General features: G+C 63.2%; 1 protein-coding gene across 4 annotated transcripts, besides 6 other annotated features; it reads right to left on the bottom strand.

Annotated features, from left to right (window-relative positions):
* Positions 1-2,160: 2,160 nt before the first annotated feature.
* EFNA2 (ephrin A2) lies at positions 2,161-19,365 on the bottom strand. Of its 4 annotated transcripts, none has more exons than XM_017026449.2 (5): positions 18,897-19,365; positions 18,007-18,087; positions 7,734-8,047; positions 4,976-5,041; positions 2,161-3,768 (listed from the first exon to the last, which is right to left on the bottom strand). In XM_017026449.2, the coding sequence occupies exons 1-5, from the start codon at positions 19,208-19,210 to the stop codon at positions 3,647-3,649; spliced, it is 897 nt and encodes a 298-aa protein (XP_016881938.1). In that variant the 5' UTR covers positions 19,211-19,365; the 3' UTR covers positions 2,161-3,646. The 4 variants fall into 4 exon arrangements, with proteins under 4 accessions (XP_016881938.1, XP_047294338.1, XP_016881939.1 ...); XM_047438382.1 differs by having other exon boundaries at positions 19,036-19,118; XM_017026450.1 differs by having other exon boundaries at positions 18,227-18,989.
* Positions 9,262-9,831: an enhancer, noted in NCBI's record as "H3K4me1 hESC enhancer chr19:1293760-1294329 (GRCh37/hg19 assembly coordinates)". NCBI's record gives its function as "activates a minimal SCP1, AML or CMV promoter by ChIP-STARR-seq in naive H9 embryonic stem cells {active_cell/tissue: H9 hESC(naive)}" and the evidence as "EXISTENCE:reporter gene assay evidence [ECO:0000049][PMID:30033119]".
* Positions 11,242-11,321: a silencer, noted in NCBI's record as "silent region_9699". NCBI's record gives its function as "represses an Ori minimal core promoter by ATAC-STARR-seq in GM12878 lymphoblastoid cells {active_cell/tissue: GM12878}" and the evidence as "EXISTENCE:reporter gene assay evidence [ECO:0000049][PMID:35858748]".
* Positions 11,384-12,264: an enhancer, noted in NCBI's record as "H3K4me1 hESC enhancer chr19:1291327-1292207 (GRCh37/hg19 assembly coordinates)". NCBI's record gives its function as "activates a minimal SCP1, AML or CMV promoter by ChIP-STARR-seq in naive H9 embryonic stem cells {active_cell/tissue: H9 hESC(naive)}" and the evidence as "EXISTENCE:reporter gene assay evidence [ECO:0000049][PMID:30033119]".
* Positions 15,043-15,629: an enhancer, noted in NCBI's record as "H3K27ac-H3K4me1 hESC enhancer chr19:1287962-1288548 (GRCh37/hg19 assembly coordinates)". NCBI's record gives its function as "activates a minimal SCP1, AML or CMV promoter by ChIP-STARR-seq in naive H9 embryonic stem cells {active_cell/tissue: H9 hESC(naive)}" and the evidence as "EXISTENCE:reporter gene assay evidence [ECO:0000049][PMID:30033119]".
* Positions 17,634-18,134: an enhancer, noted in NCBI's record as "H3K4me1 hESC enhancer chr19:1285457-1285957 (GRCh37/hg19 assembly coordinates)". NCBI's record gives its function as "activates a minimal SCP1, AML or CMV promoter by ChIP-STARR-seq in naive H9 embryonic stem cells {active_cell/tissue: H9 hESC(naive)}" and the evidence as "EXISTENCE:reporter gene assay evidence [ECO:0000049][PMID:30033119]".
* Positions 18,135-18,635: an enhancer, noted in NCBI's record as "H3K4me1 hESC enhancer chr19:1284956-1285456 (GRCh37/hg19 assembly coordinates)". NCBI's record gives its function as "activates a minimal SCP1, AML or CMV promoter by ChIP-STARR-seq in naive H9 embryonic stem cells {active_cell/tissue: H9 hESC(naive)}" and the evidence as "EXISTENCE:reporter gene assay evidence [ECO:0000049][PMID:30033119]".

Below are 20,128 nucleotides of genomic sequence, written 5' to 3'. Positions count from 1 at the left end.
GTGAGATTACAGGGGTGAGCTACCATGCCTGGCACCCCCAGCACTCTGGGAGGCCAGGGCGGGAGGATCACTTGAGCCCAGGAGTTCGAGACCAGCCAGGAAATATAGCAAGACCCCATCTCTACAAAAAACAATAATAATAATAAATTGTATTTTTAACAATTGTCATAATAGCTAAAAGGTGGAAAGTACCCAAGTGCCCCTGGATAGATGATTGGATAAACACAGCGTGGTCCTTCCACGCACCGGAACGTGCTCAGCTGTGAAAAGGAGCGAGGCTCTGACCCAGGCCACAGCGCAGATGCACCTTGAGGACGTCACACTCAGTGAGAGATGCCAGACACGCAAGGCCACACAGTGTGTGACCCATTTCCATGAAACGTCCAGGACAGGCCCATCCACAGAGACAGGGAAGGAGGGGATACGTTGGTGCCAGGGGAGGGGATAAGGAGTGACGGCTGATGGGGACAAGGCTTCCTTTTGGGGTGATGGAATGTTCTGGAATCAGAGCTGATGGCTGCACAAGTCTCAATGCACTAAAATCCATGCAATTGTACTTAAAATGGAGGGAAGGACACTATTGTGTTTTTGTAACAGCATCACAGTCAGCACTGGGATGCCTCTCATGATCCCTGATCTCATTCTGTCCTTGGTCCTCTCTGTCCCAGTGGTCACGTTGCAGTTTGGGGTGGGGGTCTCGGCATGAATGGGCTGTGGGGGTCGCCTCCCTCTCTGAGCCTCGGGGTCCTCTGTGGAGTGGGGCATGGTGGAGCCTCCCCCGCGGTGCTCAGCACGGTGGCCGGCCGGCCCTCTGTGCCTCCGTGCGTCCACCCCGCGCTGGGCAGGGGCGGGGCGGGGCACACACAGGGGTCTTTGTGCCTGGGCTGCCTCATTAGGAGGCGGCCCCCGTCACCGGGCCCAGCGCAGCTGAATTAATTAGCTGGGAGCGTTCCCGCTCGGCTAATTGTGCCGGAGACGCCGTCGTCACGGCGGGTGGGATGCAGGCGACCATCGTCCAGCCGTAAAGACCTCAGTCCCCTGGGCCGGGTCACCTGCCGCGTCACCCCCAGCCTCTCTGTGCCTCAGTTTCTTCAATCGGGGCGTGCCTGGCATGAAGGCCCCTGGGACCCGAGAACTTACAGATGTGCCGTTTGCAAGGGGAAGAGGTTAGGAGATGACAGAGCCCCTGCCCTGGCCTGGAGCAGGTGGGGAAACTGAGTTACACAGAGGCAGAGCTTGCCAGTGGAGATTTCACAACATTTGATTGGATCCTGAGGCCCAGGAATTCCACCATGTTCAGGTGTGTGCCGGCCAGCGGTGTCCCCAGGGCCAGCCATGCACAGGCCCCGTCTCCTCCCTCCATCCTCCCAGCTGCCCCCTCCCAGCCCTAGGTGGGCTGTTGCTACTTCCCAGAGAGGGAAACTGAAGCCCATGGATGGCTATGAAGGATACGGGCCCTATAAAATGCTCATCCCAAGGTCTGACCCCAAAACGATGCACAGAACCAAAGAATCAGTCAGGTTCACAGCTCTGGGGATCCCCAGAGGTTCCTCGAAGCCGCACCCCTCTCCCCAGTAGATTCCAGACCCACCTCTAAATTATTATTATTATTATTACTATTACTATTATTTGAGGCAGGGTCTTGCTTTGTTGCCCAAGCTGGAGTGCAGTGGTGTGATCATAGCTCCCTGTAGCCTCCACCTGCCGGGCTCAAGCCATCCTCTCACCTCAGCCTCCCGAGTAGCTGGGTCTACAGTTGTGCACCACCACGCCGAGCTAATTTTTTTTTTCCTTTTTGAGACAGAGTTTCGCTCTGTTGCCGAGGCTGGAGGGCAAAGGCACGATCTCAGCTCACTGCAACCTCCAACTCCCGGGTTCAAGAGGTTCTCCTGCCTCAGCCTCCCGAGTAGCTGGGATGACAGGCGTGCACCACCTCACCTGGCTTTTTTTTTTTTTTTTTTCATATTTTTAGTAGAGATGGGGTTTCACCATGTTGGCCAGACTGGTTTCAAACTCCTGACCTCAAGCGATCTGCCCGCCTCGGCCTCCCAAAGTGCTGCAATCACAGGAGTAAACCACCACGCCCAGCATCCACCGCCAAATTAGGAATGCAAAAGTCTCCTTCAAGTAGGGCAAGGCCCCCACATACAGACACACGCGTTTGAGGTTTATGCTCATTTTATTATAAAAAAATACAGAATCCAAAGTTGATTGTGACGGGAAGAGGGAGGCCCGGTCGCCAGCTCCAGGCCTGGCAACGCGGCCCGCCCCGCCGACCCCCTACAAAAGCCCTCTGCCCACCCCCCACCACCGGGCGTGCCTCGAGCCGCCGGCCGGCGGCCGTACACAATATATATTTATATATAATATATATAAAACACAGAGTCAGGAAAGGCGGGTAGAAATATGAAATCCGTATAAATGTGTTGTTTCCTTCATTAAAGTGTCTTCGGGGAGGAGTTTCTTTTTTTTTTTTTGGTAGTGGTTCCCTCCCTTTTGTCCTTTTTTTCTTTTTCTTAGAAACATTATCAGGTCACAGAGTTGAGAGAGGGGCTCTGACAGACGACACGAGCTTATTGCCAAGTGCAGCTTCTACTCTAAAAGTCCACCCCACCCCCCCACCAAAATAAAAGACCCCCTATGAAGGGCTGAAAAAACATAGACGGTCCAGTCCGTCCTCAGGAATACGTGGAAAATAAAATCACAGTTTGCACTTGCTGGCTGTATTTACAGGAACAGAAGGTCTTCTCGGCCTCGGAGAGGGACCGTGTGAGGCGAGGGGGACGGGTAGGGGGCTGTTTGCATCGGCCAAAGCAGTTTCTAAGACACGGCGGGACTGTGATTCCGAAGGGCGCTGGGGCAAAACAGTGTCTGGGAGGAAATGACCAGGAGGACGGGGGTGGGCGATGGGGTATGAGGTCTCCCCAGCCACAATGAGGGGCGCCCACCACGTACCCCTTCCGGCTCAGACTCACCCAACCTGGAGCACCAGGGGGGTCCGCGGTGGGCTGCAGCTGTGTTCCCCCACGAGTGGGGTGCAGAGCAGAGGGGAGCGGCTGTGTTCCCCCACGAGTGGGGTGCAGAGCAGAGGGGAGCGGCTGTGTTCCCCCACGAGTGGGGTGCAGAGCAGAGGGGAGCGGCTGTGTTCCCCCACGAGTGGGGTGCAGAGCAGAGGGGAGCGGCTGTGTTCCCGACCCCATGTTCCGCGTTCCCCTCCCCCAGGCCAGGGCACAGGGACCCCGCCCCGCTACAACGGCAGGGAATAAATTAAATTAAAAACTCAAGTCTTTTTGATCCAACCACGAAAAATACACTAAAAAAAAAAAAAAAAAAAAAAAAAAAAAAAAAAATCGCCAAGAGGTTCCCGGGTTCTCCGACGCCCCAGAGGAGATGGCCTGGCCACGGTCCGCATCCACACCCCGGCCCCTCGGGCCTCCGGGGGGGGGCTCTCGGCCGTTTCCCCTCCCTGAGGGCTGGTCCTGGGGCGGGTGGATGGCCCCTGCCCGGCGGGGGCGGCACCAGGCGAGGGAGAAGCAGCGTCTCTATTTGGTCTCGGAGGCGGGGGCCGCAGCCGGGTCCGGAGGGCCGAGGTCAGGCGGTCCAGGCGGGGCCGTCCAGGCAGGGTCGGCGTCCTGCGGGGCTGGGACTAGGAACCCAGGAGGGTCCAGAGCACGGGGATGGTGCTGAGGAAGAGGCGGCAGCCGCCCGGGCTGCTACACGAGTTATTGCTGGTGAAGATGGGCTCAGGAGCCTCGTACAGGGTCTCGTCTGCGGGTGGCAGAGACAGCACGCTCAGCGGCCGCCCGAACCCCACTGGGCTCCCCACGTGCCGCCCGCCCTCAGGGTGCACATCTGCCCAACGGGCTCATCACCCCACCAGGCAGGCCCTCTGCTCCCTCTTGGTGCCATCCCCGATGCCCACTCTCCGGGCAAAGTCACTTGGCCTGAAGTGGGGGACCTGGCTGTTGAATTCAACCTTCACTCTTTTAATCTTTTTTTTTTTTTTTTTGCTTTATTTTTATTTATTTATTTATTTTTTGAGACGGAGTCTCACCGTCGCCAGGCTGGCGTGCAGTGGCGCAATCTGGGCTCACTGCAACCTCCGCCTCCCGGGTTCAGGCGATTCTCCAGCTTCAGCCTCCCAAATAGCTGGGACTACAGGCATGTGCCACCACGCCCGGCTAATTTTGTATTTTCAGCAGAGACGGGGTTTCACCATGTTGGCCAGGACGGTCTCCATCTCTTGACCTTGGGGTCCACCCACCTCAGCCTCCCAAAGTGCTGGGATTACAGGTGTGAGCCACCGTGCCCGGCCACTCTGTTTTTATTTTTATTTTTATTTTATTTTATTTTTTAGACGCAGTCTTGCTATATCACCCAGACTGGAGAGCAGTGGCGCAATCTGGGCTCACTGCAACCTCCACTTCCCGGGTTCAAGTGATTCTCCTGCCTCAGTCTCCTGAGTAGCTGGGATTACAGGAGCCCGCCACCAGGCCCGGCTAAATTTTGTATTTTTAGTAGAGATGGGGTTTCGCCATGTTAACCAGGCTGGTCTCAAACTCCTGACCTCAGGTGATCCACCTGCCTCAGGCTCCCAAAGTTGGGATTACAGGCGTGAGCCACCCAACCGGCCTGCTTTGTTTTTTAGAGACAGAGTCTTGCTCTGTCACCCAGGCTGGAATGCAGTGGCGTGATCTCTGCTCACTGCAGCCTCGGCCTCCTGGGCTCAATTGATTCTCCCACCTCAGCATCCCAATGTGCTGGGATTATAGGCGTGAGCCACTGCGCTCAGCTAACCTTCACTCTCGAAGGTCTGACATGTTCATCAGACGGGGAAATCGAGGCTGGGGCAAGGCAGGGCAAGATAGGGAAACCCGAGGCCCCCTGTCCTGGCTCTTCTGAACACTCACTGGTTCTGTGGGTTTAGGACACAGGGGTGGGGGCCTGGATCCTGCCCATCCCCCTGAGCACTTACTGGTCGGCCGCACGTACACCTTCAGTCGCAGGCAGGGCCGGTCCACAGCATTGGGAGGCGTGGCAGCTAGAAGAGAGGGGATGGGGATGAGTGGGGAAGTGCCTCTTGGTGCCTGAGACCTCCTGGGGCTGTACTCCCTTCCCCACCTTGGTGAATCAACCCTGACCCCAGGTGGAGAGCCACCCTTAAAACTCCTAATCGTACATCAAAGCCCCAGACACAATGCCCCCTGTTTCCCAGCAGTCTCCTGCACATTCCCCCTGCTCCTCCTTCTGTCCAATCCTGACCCCAGAACCTGGGGGTGTCTGTGTTTTTGTTCTGCTCTGCCTCACCCCAGGGCAGCACAGGGTGAGCTCGGAAAATGATGTATTTGTTTTCAAGCAATCAGCAAAGAGGTGATATATTAATAGTGAAATGATTGACCTGGGTTCAAATCTCTGCCTCTGAGAGCCTGTGGACAAGCCGCTCCCTCTCTGGACCTCGCCTGGCAACACAGTAGATTCTCTGGGAAAGATTCTTTTTTTTTTTTTTTTTTTTTTTTTTTGTGATGGAGCTTTGCTCTTGTCGCCCAGGCTGGAGTGCAATGGTACGATCTCGGCTCACTGCAATCTCAGCCTCCCGGGTTCAAGCAATTCTCCTGCCTCAGCCTCCCAAGTAAACAGGATTACAAATGTGTGCCACCATGCCTGGCTAATTTTTGTATTTTTAGTAGAAACGGGGTTTCACCATGTTGGCCGGGCTGGTCTTGAACTCCTGACCTCAGGTGATCCACCCGCCTCGGCCTCCCAAAGTGCTGGGATTACAGGCGTGAGCCACCGCCACGCCTGGCTGGGAAAGATTATTTCCAACTGGTTCTTACGCCCAAAATTCCAGCATCACCGCCCCTGCTTTCGGGCCCCCAGAAGCATCCTGGAGTGCAGTGGGGGCGTCTGCAAGGATCAAGAGAGGAGGAAAAGGACGCCTGAAGCCGGGGCCGCTGGGGTGTGCACACGTGTGGACAATCGAACAGGGGTGGGTCCATGTGCACGCACACATGGATGTGGTCTTGCTGTCTCTGCCGGGCCCTGGGCCCCTGATGGCCTGGCTCTCATGGCCACCACCTCTGCCCGCCCCCTAGAAACCCCTCACACTGGAAGATGAAGATAAAAAGCATGTAATAAAAATAACATTCATCACAGAGGTAGGACGAATAATTACAATAATTATCTTTATGAAACTGCCGTCTCAGAAAGAAAAATGTAATTTTTCTCATATTATGGGGACTTAATTTAAACACCTTCCCCCGTCCCCCACCCGCTTCTTCCCTGAATTAAAAGGGAAAAATCCAACTAGAGCAGAGAAAGGAGGCAATGGGGCCTTGTAAAGTTTAATTTCACACAGCAGGAGCTGGGTGTCCAGGCACTGGCCCCCCTGCAGCCTGGGGGCACAGACCCCAGATCCCTGACTCCCCATCCCTCAGGCCCCGAGATGCTGAGAAGCCGGGGTCCCCACTCCACGAGAATCCCTCAGTCTCAGCGCCACGGCGGAAGCCACGAGTGTGATGCCATCATCCCCATCTCAGGTGGGCAGTGCCTGGCCCCTCATTCCCCCGCCAAGGTCACAGATATCATGGCCAAGCAGGACTGGGACTCCGGCTGGCGCTGCTGTGTTCCCCACCTGCCGTTGGCCTTTCGTAGGGACAAAAAGGCCAGCTTCGGACCTCCGATAAGCAGCAGGGACTGGCAGCCTCCCTCAGCCTGGCCCACCCAGCCTGGCCCACCATGGGGTCCTGCAGATGTGACTATCCCCAAGGCTGCCGCCACCCAACCTTCAGATGAAGACCCCACGGTCCTCAGGGAGTCTCCGAGCCTGGCATGGGTCCCGGGGAGATGCGGGGGTGGGTGCGGGGCAGGGAGGACCTGGAGACCCCTACCCAGTCTGGGTGCGGCTGGTGCGGCAGGGGCCCTGTGGGGTTTTTTTCTTCTTTTAAAGACAGGGTCTCGCTCTGCCACCCAGGCTGGAGTGCAGTGGAGCGACCAGAGCTCATGCACTCCAAGCAGCCCTCCCACCTCAGCCCCCTGCACAGCTGGGACCACAGGCCCATGCCACCACACCTGGCTAATTGTTTTTATGTTTTTGTAGAGAGAAGGTCTCCCTACGTTGTCCACGCTGGCCTCAAGTGATCCTCCCGCCTCGGCATCCCAAAGTGCTGGGATTGCAGGAGTAAGCCCCAGCACTCAGCCTAGCTGTGGCTTCCACCAAGCTCCCCTCCCCTGCTGGGCTCCGGATGCCTCAGTTTCCCTCATCAGTGTGCTGGGGCTCGGGCACCCTGGTCTCGCTATCGGGGGGCTGAGCCAGGTCTACTGGCCCAACCACCAAGTGGTCTGAGCTGGAGGCCCGAGATCACAATAGTGCAGCCTCAGTCCCCCTCCAAGCCTCAGTTTCCCCATATGCAACGAAGGACGAGGAAAGTCCTGGCCTCCCGGGATGGTTGGGAGAATGGCACGTCCATCATGCACTTGACATCTGGAGGGGGTCAGTGACCGGGGTGGGTCAGTGGCCAGCACCGGCCCTGGCCCCACTCCGCGGCCCCGCCCACTCCCCCCTGGCCCCATTCCGCGGCCCCGCCCACTCCCCCCTGGCCCCACACCGCGGCCCCGCCCACTGCGCTGCCCCGCCCACTCCCCGGCCCCACCCCAGTGGTCCCGCCCACTTCCTGGCCCCGCCCCCGCGTCCCCGCCCACTCGGGCCCCGGCAGCCCCGGCCCGACCCCACTCACAGATGTAGTAATACTCGTGGCCGGGCCGGAACTCGAAGCCCAGGGAGAAGGGCGTGAAGAGCTGGAACTTCTCCGAGAACTTGAGCGGCCCCCCGGGCGCCGCGGGCCGGTTGCACTCCCAGCGCTTGAAGCCGCGCTGGCGGTGGTCGCAGGAGGCGTGGCCCTCGCCGTTGACCATGTACAGCACGTAGTGCTCCATGCGCTCGGCCGGCGGCAGCGGCGCCCCATAGTGCGGGCAGTAGATGTCCAGGTAGTCATTGATGCTCACCTCCACCGTGTAGCCCCCGCCGTCGTCCCCCGCGCCTGCGTGGAACCTGCGGGGACAAGGCGGCCAGAGGTCAGCGCCCGGAGCGAGGAACGGGGCACGGGTCGGGGTGCGCGGGGAGGGCCAGGGTCAGGGGACAGGAGCACGAGGGACGGGTCGGGGTGCGCGGCGAGGGCCGGGGTCAGGAGCACGGGGGACGGGTCAGGGTGCGCCAGGGGGGACAGGGTCAGGGGACAGGTGCATGGGGCACGGGTCAGTGTGCGCGGGGAGAGATGGCTCCGGGGACAGGTGCACAGGGCACGGGACAGGGTGAGCGGGGAGGGACGGGTCAGGGGACAGGTGCACGGGGAAGTCAGGCCGGGGAATGGGGGAGGGGTCAGTTCACAAGGTGGACTCCGCCTGGGCCCTGAATGGTGATAGCGGTCAGCAGGTGGGGTTGCACACCCCAATCACGGCGGGCTTCCAAGGTTGGGAGCCCACGATCTCTTGCCTGGCACTGCCCCCCACCTCCTGCCTCAGTGTCCCCAACAGCCCCACGGCAGGGCCAGCAGCGAGGTGGGTGTCCAGGTGGGTGACATCTGGACCCCTGTGTGCAAAGGGCCGGCGGGGGGTTCCTGACTCCGGGCCTCTGCACGAGCTGTCCCTCCACAAGAATTCCCTCTCCAGAAACTTCGCATCTACCTAACATGCTTAACATCTGTGCCGCCTCCTCCAGGCAGCCCCCAGCCCTGCTTTCATTCTGCACTCCCACCTGTTGAGAAGGACCGGGGCAGCGTGGGGGACACAGGTCGGGCATTCCAGCTCGCTCTGGGGCAAGCTCTGCCCCCACCCTGGCCTCAGTTTCCCCAAAGAGAACGGAGCTTGGCGTGAAGAATCCCTCCACCCTCCTCTCAGCACCCCCAGAGTTCCGCCCACCGCCCCCTCTCTCTCAGCCTGCCGAGTTCCACCTGCCGCCCAGCTCGGAGACATCCTGGGCTCCACTCCCAGCCCCACCCCTGCCTTCCTGTGTGACCCTGCGAGCCCCATACCACCCTCTCACATCTGGAACCCAGAAACCTCCCGAGCCCCGAGCCCCGGAATCCGGCGGCCTCCTGGTCTCCCTCTTGGGTGCCTGCACTCCTGACACCTCAGCCCCCAGCCCTGCCTCCAGGCCTTTGCCCTGAGGTCCCCCAGACGCAACCCACAGGCCCCTTCCTCCAGGGAGCCCCCTGACCCAGCCTCGTCTGTGAGGATAGAGATCAGCCGAGGAAGGGACCGGCGGCTCCCCTTCCCTCACTGCCTCGGGCGATGGCGGCAGGAGCCCTTAGATCTCCCGGCTGTGGTCCCCAGGGCCCCTGTCATGTAACCGGCGGCCTGGACCAAGCGGGGCACGAGGGGGGCCCTGAGAGGGGCTTATTAGCACATAAAAGACCTGAACAGGGAGGAATGGGGGGTCCCCCACACCGCTCCTGCCTCCTCCCTCCATGCACAGGCAGGGGAAACTGAGGCCCCACCAGTGTTGGCAGCACATGGGTGCAGGCTGCTACGATCCCGGCCCTGGCACTGCCTCTAGCCCGGCACAGCCACCGCCACCCCGGCCTGCAGGGGTGAGCCCGCCGCAGGCCCCACACTGGGGGCACTAATTGGCACAGCAGCTCGAGAGAGAGGGTGGTGGGATTATCAGATGGCATCAGCCCGGCCCCCCGCCACCCTGAGATGCCACGCCAGGCGGGGCCGGGGGTTCCTGGGTCTCCAGGGGTGAGAAGGGGCAGACAGGTGTGCTCACTTGCGCCTCAGTTTCCCCACTAGGGATCCGGCATGAAGATCTCCAGAGCAAAGAATTTCAAGGCAGGGCGGCGGAGGCGGTGAAGTCACCCTCCAGCCCTTCCCTACCTGGTTGGATTCGTCCAGGGACAGAGAGCTTCCCAGGCCTCCTTCATCACCCCTGTGAGCCCAGCACAGGGGACATGGGAGGGCGTGTTGCAGGGAAATCTCCCCCGGGCACCAGGCCTGGAGGGCAGGGGCCCTTCCGGGGCTTCGGAATCTTGCAGTTCTGGGCTTGCGTCTGGATTTGAACCCTTGGGTCTCGAGGTCCGGCCTCCTCTCAGAGGCTCCCTTTCCCCTCCGTGCAAGGGGATGGTCCTCCCGGCTGTTGGACACTCGGGGTGCGTCCGCACAGACACGGGGGCAGCCCCCATACAGGCTCAGATGGAGATGGGCTCGGCCTCAGCCCACCCCTCAGGCTGCCCCATTGGCCGGCCGGGCACAGGCATCTCATTGACCCGCTGGCCCCTTGGGCACGATCGATGCAGAAGCTGCTCCAGCCTTTTTGAAAAGTCATTTTCGTTCCTGCCCAGCCCAAGTGAAAGCCCATTGATCAGGCGGTCGATGGTAGCCAAGGCCCAGCTCCCGCCTGGGACTGCCCACACCCAGGTCACCCTGCAGGGGAGGCCTCCGTGGAGGGACCACAGGGGCGTCTGGGCTCCCCACTGCCCTCTGGCCTCAGTTTCCCCTCCTGTCCCGGCAGTGATCCCCAGGGAGCCACATTCAACCCAAAAAAAGAACCTGGCTCCTAGCAGGACACTTCTTGAGACAGAGCAGCCTCTGAAAGTGCCCACAGCACCAGCCCTGTAGGTCCCCCTCTGGCCTCTTGGTTCCCCAATGGTGCCTCCTTCCCCCACGTCTGACACCACTGTGTTCTCTCCTCCTGTTCTGCCTTCGGTAAAATGTCAGAGACCGAGGCTTCTGTGTGGCTGAGCGGCCAGGTGCCCGGGCCCCTCCAGGCTGCGGTGAGGGTCTGCCGGGGCCCAGCCTCCCCATATCCCAAGCCTCGCTCTTCTGCAAAACAGACCCTGTAACACGTTGGCGGCGGCTCAGAGCCCTCCATCCATTCCTGATCCTCAGAATAAAATCCACACCCCTCCAGGCCTGTGTGGCCCATCCACTGCGCCCTCCTCATCCTCCTCTCTCCAAGACTCCTCCCTTCCAGCCACACCAGCCTCCCGGCTGTCCCTGTTCCCACCAAGGGCCTCTGCAGCTGCTGTTCCCACTGCCTGCAGTGCTGTTCCCTGTGCCCCGCCCCATATCACATCTGCTCTTTACAGGGTTTGCTGTCTGAATCCCGGATCCTGATGTTGGCCTCCTCTGTCCCCTCCCCAGGGCCCTACACAGGCCCTGCATACAGTGGTGCTCAATAATGAGTGAATTAAAAAGGTCAAGAGGCGAGGACTTTGCAATGCCAGAGTTGTGGGGAGCAGCCCACAGGTGTGTGTGTTGGAGGGCAGGTCCCAGGGGAACCCCCACCCCCGGCTCTGCCTGCCGGAGTGGGGCCGTATTTTTCCCTTTGCGTCTCTAAAATAGCAGCGGCCTTGCTGTGTTGGCATTCCCGGTTCCAAGTTGGCGGGCAAGCCCGAGGTGGGCGCGTTGCCCCTGTTGAGGGTGGCGCCTGCAGGGGGGAGGGGGCCCCCACCCCAAAACCGCACCTGGGGAGAGGCAGACAAAGCCTTCGCTTCCTCCATTAGTGATGAAGCCTCGATATGCAAATCCTCCCCGGAGCGGCAGAGAGACTGAAATTCTCACTAAGGGGTTAATGACTGATTTGGGATTTTTCCCAGACAGAGCAGCGGTGGCAGTTTTTACTCCTCCGGGTTCCCTCTGCCGGGCCACACCTTCCCCCCACACTCACTCAACCTGCGGGTGCCAAAGTCCACGCCTCCAGGCAGCCCTCCAGGCCCCAGGCAGAGGCTCACCCAGCAGGGCTCCCCTCCTGCCCACCCGGGCCTCCTGGCTGTCACCAGCTTCCAGCAAGCGGCCTGGAGCTAATTAGCTCCAATCGGGCAATTGTCAAGTTATTAGACGCTAATAGCTAAGCGACTAATTAGGAATCTCACCCAAAACTGGGGTGGGGGTGGGCTGGGCTGCCTTCCAGGACTGGAAACTGAGGCAGTGGTGTGGCCGGCAGCCAGGACCCCGTGGGTGGGCAGGTGGACGCCTGCACCCGTCTGCATCTCTCTTCCAGGGTGGAGAAGCTCCCGGGGAGGCCCAGGCTGGCCGGATGAGCAGGCAGCCCGGGTCCTGAAGCCCAGCGTGGGGCTGAGGCCGCCCGTCCCCTCCTGCCACCCCCAGCAAGACCTGCTGGGGTGACAGCACCCACACCTGGCTTTTCCAGGGACGGAAGAGATGTCCCCCCTGACTGAGGACTGGAGCTTTTCCTCCTGCTCAGGACCTGGGTGGGACCTGAAGGGAAATCAGTCCCCGGGATGGTGCAAGGTCTGCCCAAGAAAGGACAAGTATGGCCTTGTGGTGCAGGAGGGTAAACTGAGGCAGGGCCCTAGAAATGAAGCAAAATAGGAAAAAGATGGGCCGGGCAGGGTCAGCCCCACCTGGGCTTCCGTCACCGTGGGCGTGGGTGGCCCTGGTACAGAGTGCAGCTGCCGTCGGCCACCCACCTTCCTGCCCCTCCCAGGGCTGTCCCTGGCTTCCCCCGGGCCGGCCCCAGGTGGGACACCCTGGACTCTGCCCAACTTCCGGGTGGCCTTGGGTGAGTCACCGTCTTTCAGGGCCTCGGCTGCTCTGTCCCTGAATTGGGGGCCCCTGACCCACAGGGCAGGTGGACAAGGGGCGCACAGAGCTGGGGGGACACGCCGCTGAGTCTCTCGGCCAGACCCCACACCAGCCTGGTCTGGGAGCAGGTGTGGCACGAGCCCCCCACCAGGACCGACTCGGCCACAGAGTTCAAACGCCTGCTTGAGGTTAAAGCAAAAACCCCGCCGGCTCGTCTGCTCCTCCGCAGGCTCCAGCCGCGTGTCTGGGGCGACGGGACGGTGGGCACAGGGACGGGAGCAGCTCAGCCCTTCCCCCAGCAAGGTACAAAGCCCAGCTCTCCCTGAGGACCCATCTGCAGGAGAGGCTGGTCCCACACACAGGACTGAGGGGCAAGGCCTGGCTGCATCCCGGTTCCTGGGGAGGAGAGAAGCCGTGTCCCGGGGAACACACGGCCACCGGGGCAGGACCCTCATGGATGACAAGGAGACCACCGGCTCCACAGAAACGCTACCACCCGGACCCCCATGAATGCACAACCCACTGCCTCCGCCGTGACCCCGAGGGACCCACGTAGGGCCAGTCCCCTGCAGACCTGCGGAGACGTCAGCCCAGAGACGGGGGAAGGTCAAATCCCACTGCGTTCACGGCCCCCCGCCACGGAACCTCTGTTCCCTTCTCTGCAAACTGAGGCCGCCCAGGGAGGCCTGCAGTGGAGGCGGAAGGCCTGGGCCACCCATGGCACCCCAGGATGCCCAGAGATGGGGAAGACAGAGACCCAAAGAGACCGTGAGACACAGAGACCATGGTGCCTCGGCAGAAGCATCCTCCCCACCACAGGAGCTGCCTCGGTTTCCCTTCTGGGGAGGGGACACTAACCCCTGGGACCACCCTCAGGCCTTTGCCCATCCACACCAGGCCCTATCGGCCGAGCCGCACCCACCGCAGGGCTCCGTCACCCCCACTTCGCAGAGCAGGCCTGGGGGTTCCAGGCTGCTAAGCCACCTGCCTGACGTCATGCCCAGGTCTCCCAGACTCCCGAGTCTGAGTCCAGGTACCCCACGGCCTCCAGGACCCCACCCTCAGGCCCCGAATCCCCCAGGCCCACCGCCCGGCTCTCCTAGCGCCCCCAATGCCGAGTGGACCAGCTTCTCTCAAACAAAACAAAAAACCCTTATGCAGCAGAACACGGCATCACCCCCTTCAAAGCCGGCTCCCCGAGAGGCCGAGGGACGCCAGCGGAGCCACGGGGAGCGAGACACCCCGTTCACCTCTGCCCTCTGCTGGGGGACGGCTCCTCCCTCGGGGAGTGAGCCCTTGCATAGGTCACCATTTTCCATCCAGTGTTTGAGGGGAACCCGGCTGCTGCCCACACCCGAGGGCCACTGGGTCCGTGGGGAACCCCGGGAGGGTGGCCGAAGCCCAGAGATGCCCAGTGTGGGCAAGCGCCCACCCAGTGCCCCCAAGGCTGCAGATTTCCAATCAGAAGGTGGGGACTCCCGGGGACCACAGGCCCCTGCGTCCACCCTGCTCTGAGGCTTGATGGCCGTCTGCACACGGGCCCTGGTCCCGTCCCCAGGGGAGGAGGAGAGGGAGGGCCAACAGCGGGGTTGCCATTGTGGACCGTGCTGGGGCCACCACTGCCCCCACATTGCAGGCCCTCAGCCAGCCAGCACTGCCCCCAGGGAGACACACTTACATGCACCCCACACGCAGACACGCACACACACCTGCACTCCACGCACAGACAAAACGCATGCATGCCACAGGCAGACACGCACAGGGACCTCGGACACTGCAGACATCCCGTGCAAGGGCACGCACATGCAAACGCGGGTGCCACGCACAGACACACTCATGCACACACATGCACCTCATATGCAATCACGCAGACACATGTGCAAACACGCCAGAGCTGTGCCCTGTGGATTCACGCAGCCTCCTGCCACACACAGACACATGTAACCTGCAGCCGGATGCGACTCCAGGCACACCTGCACGCCACCCTTCCCCACCGCTGCACGCAAACACACATGAGCAGCCGTGGGAATGCACACGCGGTGTTGTGGCCAGGACAGGTGAGGGCAGCCGGCCAGGTCCAACAGGACAGGTGAGGGCAGCCGGCCAGGTCCAAGCCCTGGACGCCCCAGCCCGATGCGGGTCGGCTGGGAACAGGCCCAGAGACTCCTGGCGGCCAGCTCAGGGGTACCCAGCCCAGGTTGGGGAGTGGGTTGGACGGACGCTGTGCAGTCACCGGTGGGAGTGGCGGGGCCGGCCAGCCAGACCACCCAACGGGGCCCCACCTTATAGCGGCCCAAGGAGGTGGGTGCGGGGTCCCCTGGGTGCAGGCATCGCCTCTCACAGCAGAGAGGGTGTGATGTGGAGACAGACCACACAGTCATCGCCTGGGCACAGGTGCCAGGCCAATGGGCGGAAGGGGCGGCCGGCGACGCTGCGGCACTGCCCGGGCCTGCAGGCCCCATCGAGCACACGGTCCCCTGGTGCCCACGCTGCTGTCTGCCCCCCATCGCGGCTGTCCCCGTCTCCAGTGCCTTTCTGTATGCCCCTCTCAAAGACTTGGGGTCCCCGCATCCCCCACACACCTGCCCGACCCCATCATCCCTCCCCGGCCAGCCCAGCCTCACACCTTAGGCCTGCCGGCTGACGCCACTCCTCTCCCCAAGCCGATGTCCCCTCCACAGGGTCCCCTTGGATACGGAGGCCCAGCACCACCCCCTGCTGTGCCTGACACCCCCGCCACTCAGGCACAGGTCCCGGGCAGGTGCCCCTGGACACCAAATCTGAGAACTGCAGAGACCCCTGATGTCCGCGACAAAGCCCTGATTCTGGCTGGATCCCGGCTTCCCGGGAAGGTGCTCACCCAGCCCTGGGCCCCACTGCAGGGTGTCGGCTCCGTCCCCAGCAACCCTGGATACCGCAGGCAGGAGAGGAAGGAGGAGGCAGCCTCGGTGCTGCCCAGGTCGGCTCTGCGGACCAGCAAGGCCGTTCCCTCAGGCAGCGGTTTGAGCTGGGCAACCAGGTCAGACCCGGAGCAACAGGAGGTGGCTGGGCCAAGCCAGGCACTGGGGAGGCCACTTCCTTCCCCTGGCCGGGGGTCCGGCCCGCAGCCCACAGCCCTGTGGCAGGTGGGGCAGCAGGACGGCCCTGGTGACCACCTTCCTCCCCCGGTTGCCGGGTCCTCGTGTGTTTGGCGTTTGCTAGAACAAAGGACAGGCCACGCTGGGGACGGGAGATTCCGCAGCTGAAACCAAAAACTTGGGCCGGGGAAGCGCTGCCCGCTGGACTCCCCGCACGGCCAGCGACAGCCTTAATCAAACCCACATGTGACCAGCACAGCGGGCGGCTCGGGGACCCGCTCTGAGGTGGGCCAGCCGTCCCCCAGCGGCCCGGGGTCCCTGCCCTCAGCCCCCAGGGCCCGACCCGAGGCCGTTGACCAGGGTGGGGGGTGGGCCTGTGCGTGTTCCCCACCCCCACGGCGGAACACGGGCCGCCCTTGTCCCCGAGCCCGCCTCAAAGAGACCCCTTCATGCAACTTTCCTCCCGGGGACCGAGGACAGCAGGAGACAGAGGGGACAAGGAGGGGTGGCGGGCTCCAGAGGGCGGCTCGGTCGGCACAGGAAGCGGCTGGAAAACGGAGAGAAAGTGACCAGTAGCAGAAGAGTGGGGGGGGGCCGCCTCAGCCCCCGATGTGCAGCTCCGTGTGCCTTAGGAAGACGGTGACACCCTGAGTGCTGGGGCTGACTCCCTCCCGAGCCCCAGGACCCCCAAAGCCCCGGCTCCCACGGGACCCCCAGGGAAGCTGCAGCCTGCTCCTGTCTTGGAGACCCTGGGATGGTTCAGAGGGTTCTACCCACGTCCAGGCCATGGCCAGGCCCCGGCAAACTTTTTTTGCTCTGACCAACGGGGGCTTCTCCTGTCCCCCACGTTGTGCCTGGCCCGGACCTGGTTCAAAACAAGGGGGCCTGCAGCAGGCGGGTGCGGCATCTCGGCCGGGCGTGGCAGGCAGGGCACTGGGCCACCTGGGTCCTGCCCCCAAGTCCCCCCCTTGCATGACCTTGAGCCAGCTCCTCATCCCCTCTGCACCTCAGTTTCCTGGTCAGCGCCCAGAGGACAAGAGAGGACTCCATCCCACTGCCCCTCCCGGGGCTGACCCCCAGCTCCCCGGCCCCTCAGTCTCCTTTCAAAGCTGGGCCCTTGGCCCCCTGGAGTGAAGCAGATGCTGGGTCCTGAGGGAGGGACACTCCAACTTCCCCAAGTTCATCTGGGGACCTGCGGGCAGGACGAACCCAGAGATCCCTCGAGGGCCACAGTCCCCCACCTCCGGTGCCAAGGTCCCCGGGGATCCCCACCAAATGCGAAACCGAGGGGGCTCCCCAGAGAAGCGGGTGGATCAGGGGTCCCCCCAAGTCCAGGCAGGCAACTCAGGGGCTACCCGGCATCGGAGGGTACCAGAGGGGTTCCCCAAACTCCAGGAGACGTCGGCGCTCTGGGGGATGTGGGGCGCGAGTCCCCACAGTCCGTAGGGCAATGGGGCGCCCCGGGGAAGGCAGGCGCGAAAAGGGCGAGTCCCCCAAACTCCGGGGGGCCGGAGCTCCCTGGGGGGCTCCCGCGGGAACCGGGCGCCCGCATCCCGGCGGCGGCGCGCGCGTGGGGGGCGCCCGGAGCTCCGGGGGCGCGAGGCCGGGCGCGGCTTGGGGGGCGTTGGGGGGTCCCCGGGCGCCCCCCGCGCGCGGCCGCGCTCACCTGGGGTTGCTGCGGTTCCAGTAGACGGCGTAGCGGTCCGAGTTGGCGCGGGCGGCGTCCTCGGCGCGCGCGAAGGGCGGCGGCGGCAGCGGTAACAGCAGGAGCAGCAGCGGGAGCAGCGGGCGCTGCGCGGGCGCCATGGCCCCGGTCCGGCCGCCGCGCTCGCTCTCCCGGCCGCCGCCTGCCAGCCTTCTCCGCCTCCTCCGCCGCCGCCGCCGCCGCCGAGCGGGCGGGCGGAGGGCGGGCGGGAGGAGGGCGCGGCGGCGCTTGGAGATCCCGGGCCGCCCCCGCCTCCGCGCGCGCGACCTCGGGCGCCGAGAAGTCAGGCGGCGGCGGGGCGGGGCGCCGGGGTCGCCCCGGGCGCAGGACCCGGCCGCGCGGACTGTCGGAGCGCGGGCCGCCGCCGCCGCACCCGCCGGGGAGGGGCCCGGGCTCCGGCCTTTGTCCCGCCCGAGCGTCGGGAGGGCCGCGGGCGCCCCCTCCCGCCGTGCCCCGGCCGCGCGGGGACTGGGCGGGGGTCTCCAGCCTGCGCCCGCCCCCTGCCCCGGCCCACCCCGTCTCAGGCTCGTCCCCCGGGGCCTGCCCCCAGCGACCCCGATTCTGCGCGCCCCCCGCCGGCATCCGCGTGGCCCGGCCTGGGGTCTCCGAGGGGCGGGGGCGCACCCTGCCTCCCGCGCCCCCACGCGCTCCACCCGGCCCGGCCCTGGGTCCCGGGCCTCTCACCTGCCCGGTTCCAGCGCTATCCGCAGCCTCACCAACCCCGACGCACGCGTCCCAAATCGGGCTCGGCCAACTCCAGTCTCCCTGCGGGGGCCGGGGCAGAGTTTCAGAGGGGCGCTGGCCAAAGTCCAAAGCTGCTCGGGCTGCGACCTCCCTGGGGCCCTCCTGGGAGTCGCCTCTCCGGACCCACGCTGTTCCCTGGGGATGGAGTAAGTCCCTACACCTCAGCCCTAAGGGTGCCGGGAGCATAGTAGGTGGACCGATGTGGAGTGTGAGCAGCTGGGGATGGGATCCAAGAAGCCCAGAGTGAAGCCCCGGCCGACAGCAAATCAGTCTCCACGCACGAATCCTGCAGGCAGGGGAGGGCCGCTGCCCGGGGGCACAGCTTGTGCAAAGACCCGGGGTCTGATCTGTTCAGGGAACGCCGAGTGATTTCTCCTCCTGGTAGGCTGACACAGGTGGGGAACTGGGGGCCTGGCCTCTGCTTTGTCTTTTTTCCAATCTATAGAGACAGTGTCTGGCCATGTTGGCCACGCTGGTCTTGAACTCCTGGGCTCAGGCGATCTTCCCACCTGGGCTTCCCAAAGTGCTAGGATTACAGGCGTGAGCCACTGCACCTGGCCTGCCCTCTGTTTTTGCCCTTATTCATGCCACAGCCTCCCTCACCAGACTCTGAGCTTGTGGAGGGTAGGCTGTCATCAAACGCTGGCTGGACTTTGCTGGCGATGCCCAGATCGTGTTGTACGTCTCTGAATTAGTGTCATTCACCAGGCCCAGTGCAGGAGAGGGAACTGCAGGGCAAGCACCAACAGCCCTTGGACCCGAAGGTCCCTGTGTGAGGCATTACCCAAACTCCTGGCAGGGACCGTGAACCCAGAGATGGGCAAGCTAACCTGTGCCCCAGCAAGGTGGGGTGGGGACCGGACCCACCACCGTCCCACAGCTCTGAGACGTGGTGGGCTCTGTCCTGTGTCTCCTGCGTGCCCTCCTCCCCCGATTCCCCAGCGGGCCACGCGGGCCACACCACCTGACCTTTGTTCAGGCTGGGTCCTGCTGGGAAGTCCTTCCACTTTTTCTTCCTGTTAAAATCTTGCTCTTCCAGAAAGGTCTGTCCCACCCAGTGCTCTAGCGTCCCTGCCAGGACAAGGTTCTCAGTTCTCTCTCCTCCAGGGAGCTCAGCCCGTCTGTTCTGAGCTCCAGGTCTCATCCCCTGACCCCACTACAGACGTCCCAGGTCGAAGGCCCAGGGCTGGCCGGGTGTCTCTTCAGTGGAGGGCGTGAACCTGTCCCAGGTGGTGGCTGAGGCAGGCCCTCTGGACAGGCTCTCTCAGCACCCCTGGAGTGAGGGCCTTGGGTTCTAGCCACACAAGGCTCTGTAGCCCAGACAGGCTGGAGAAGCTTCCCGGGCGGCTCCGTCTGGTGGGGGGCTCTTTTAGGGAGGGGGACGGCCACTCCCGGAGGTGAGCACTTTCGGAGCAGAGTGTGGCGGCTGCACCCAAGCACAGGACAAGGGGCCGTGAGCCTGGGGTCTTGGCGTGCCCGGCCCCAGCATGCCACCTGGCAAAGGTGGGAGTTCTGGAAGCTTCCTTCTACCCTGGGACCAGAAGCCCCCTCCTGCTTCAAGGGATCTCGTGGGTGAGGAGGGGTGGGCCAGGGTCGGGAGGAGGGGGTCTCTTCTCAAACCAGGACTGGGACCTGCACAGGTGGGAGCTGGAAGGGCACCACCTCCACCCAGGCATGGCAGGGCCACTCATTTGCATGCAGGGGCCACCGAGGCGAGAGCCGCCACCACCGCCACCGCTGAACGGATTTGAGCAGAAGCTCCGTTTTCCTTCTGTTCTTGTCTCTCTCAAGGTCAGAGCCCAAGCAGGGACGGGAACAAAGGCGGTGCGTCCCCCATTCAACCTCCCCGCGCCCGCTGGCCGCTCCTAGAGGAAGGACCTGGGGAAGGGAGGGGAGGGCAGGGCGTCTCCGAGGCCTGGCCCTGGGCGAGGCTGCCCCGGCAAACCCCTGCCTGGCAGGGGGGCCACTGTGGGGGTCCAAGAAGCCCTGTTCCCTCCTGGGGCTGGGAGCTGTCCCGGCTTTGGGACGCAGCCGCGGCCGGAGGTCACTCTAGAGTAAGCTT

This window comes from Homo sapiens, chromosome 19, assembly GCF_000001405.40.
Source record: "Homo sapiens chromosome 19, GRCh38.p14 Primary Assembly".
Classification (NCBI taxonomy): Eukaryota; Metazoa; Chordata; class Mammalia; order Primates; family Hominidae; genus Homo; species Homo sapiens.
This window is presented reverse-complemented; position numbering and strand designations above follow the sequence as displayed.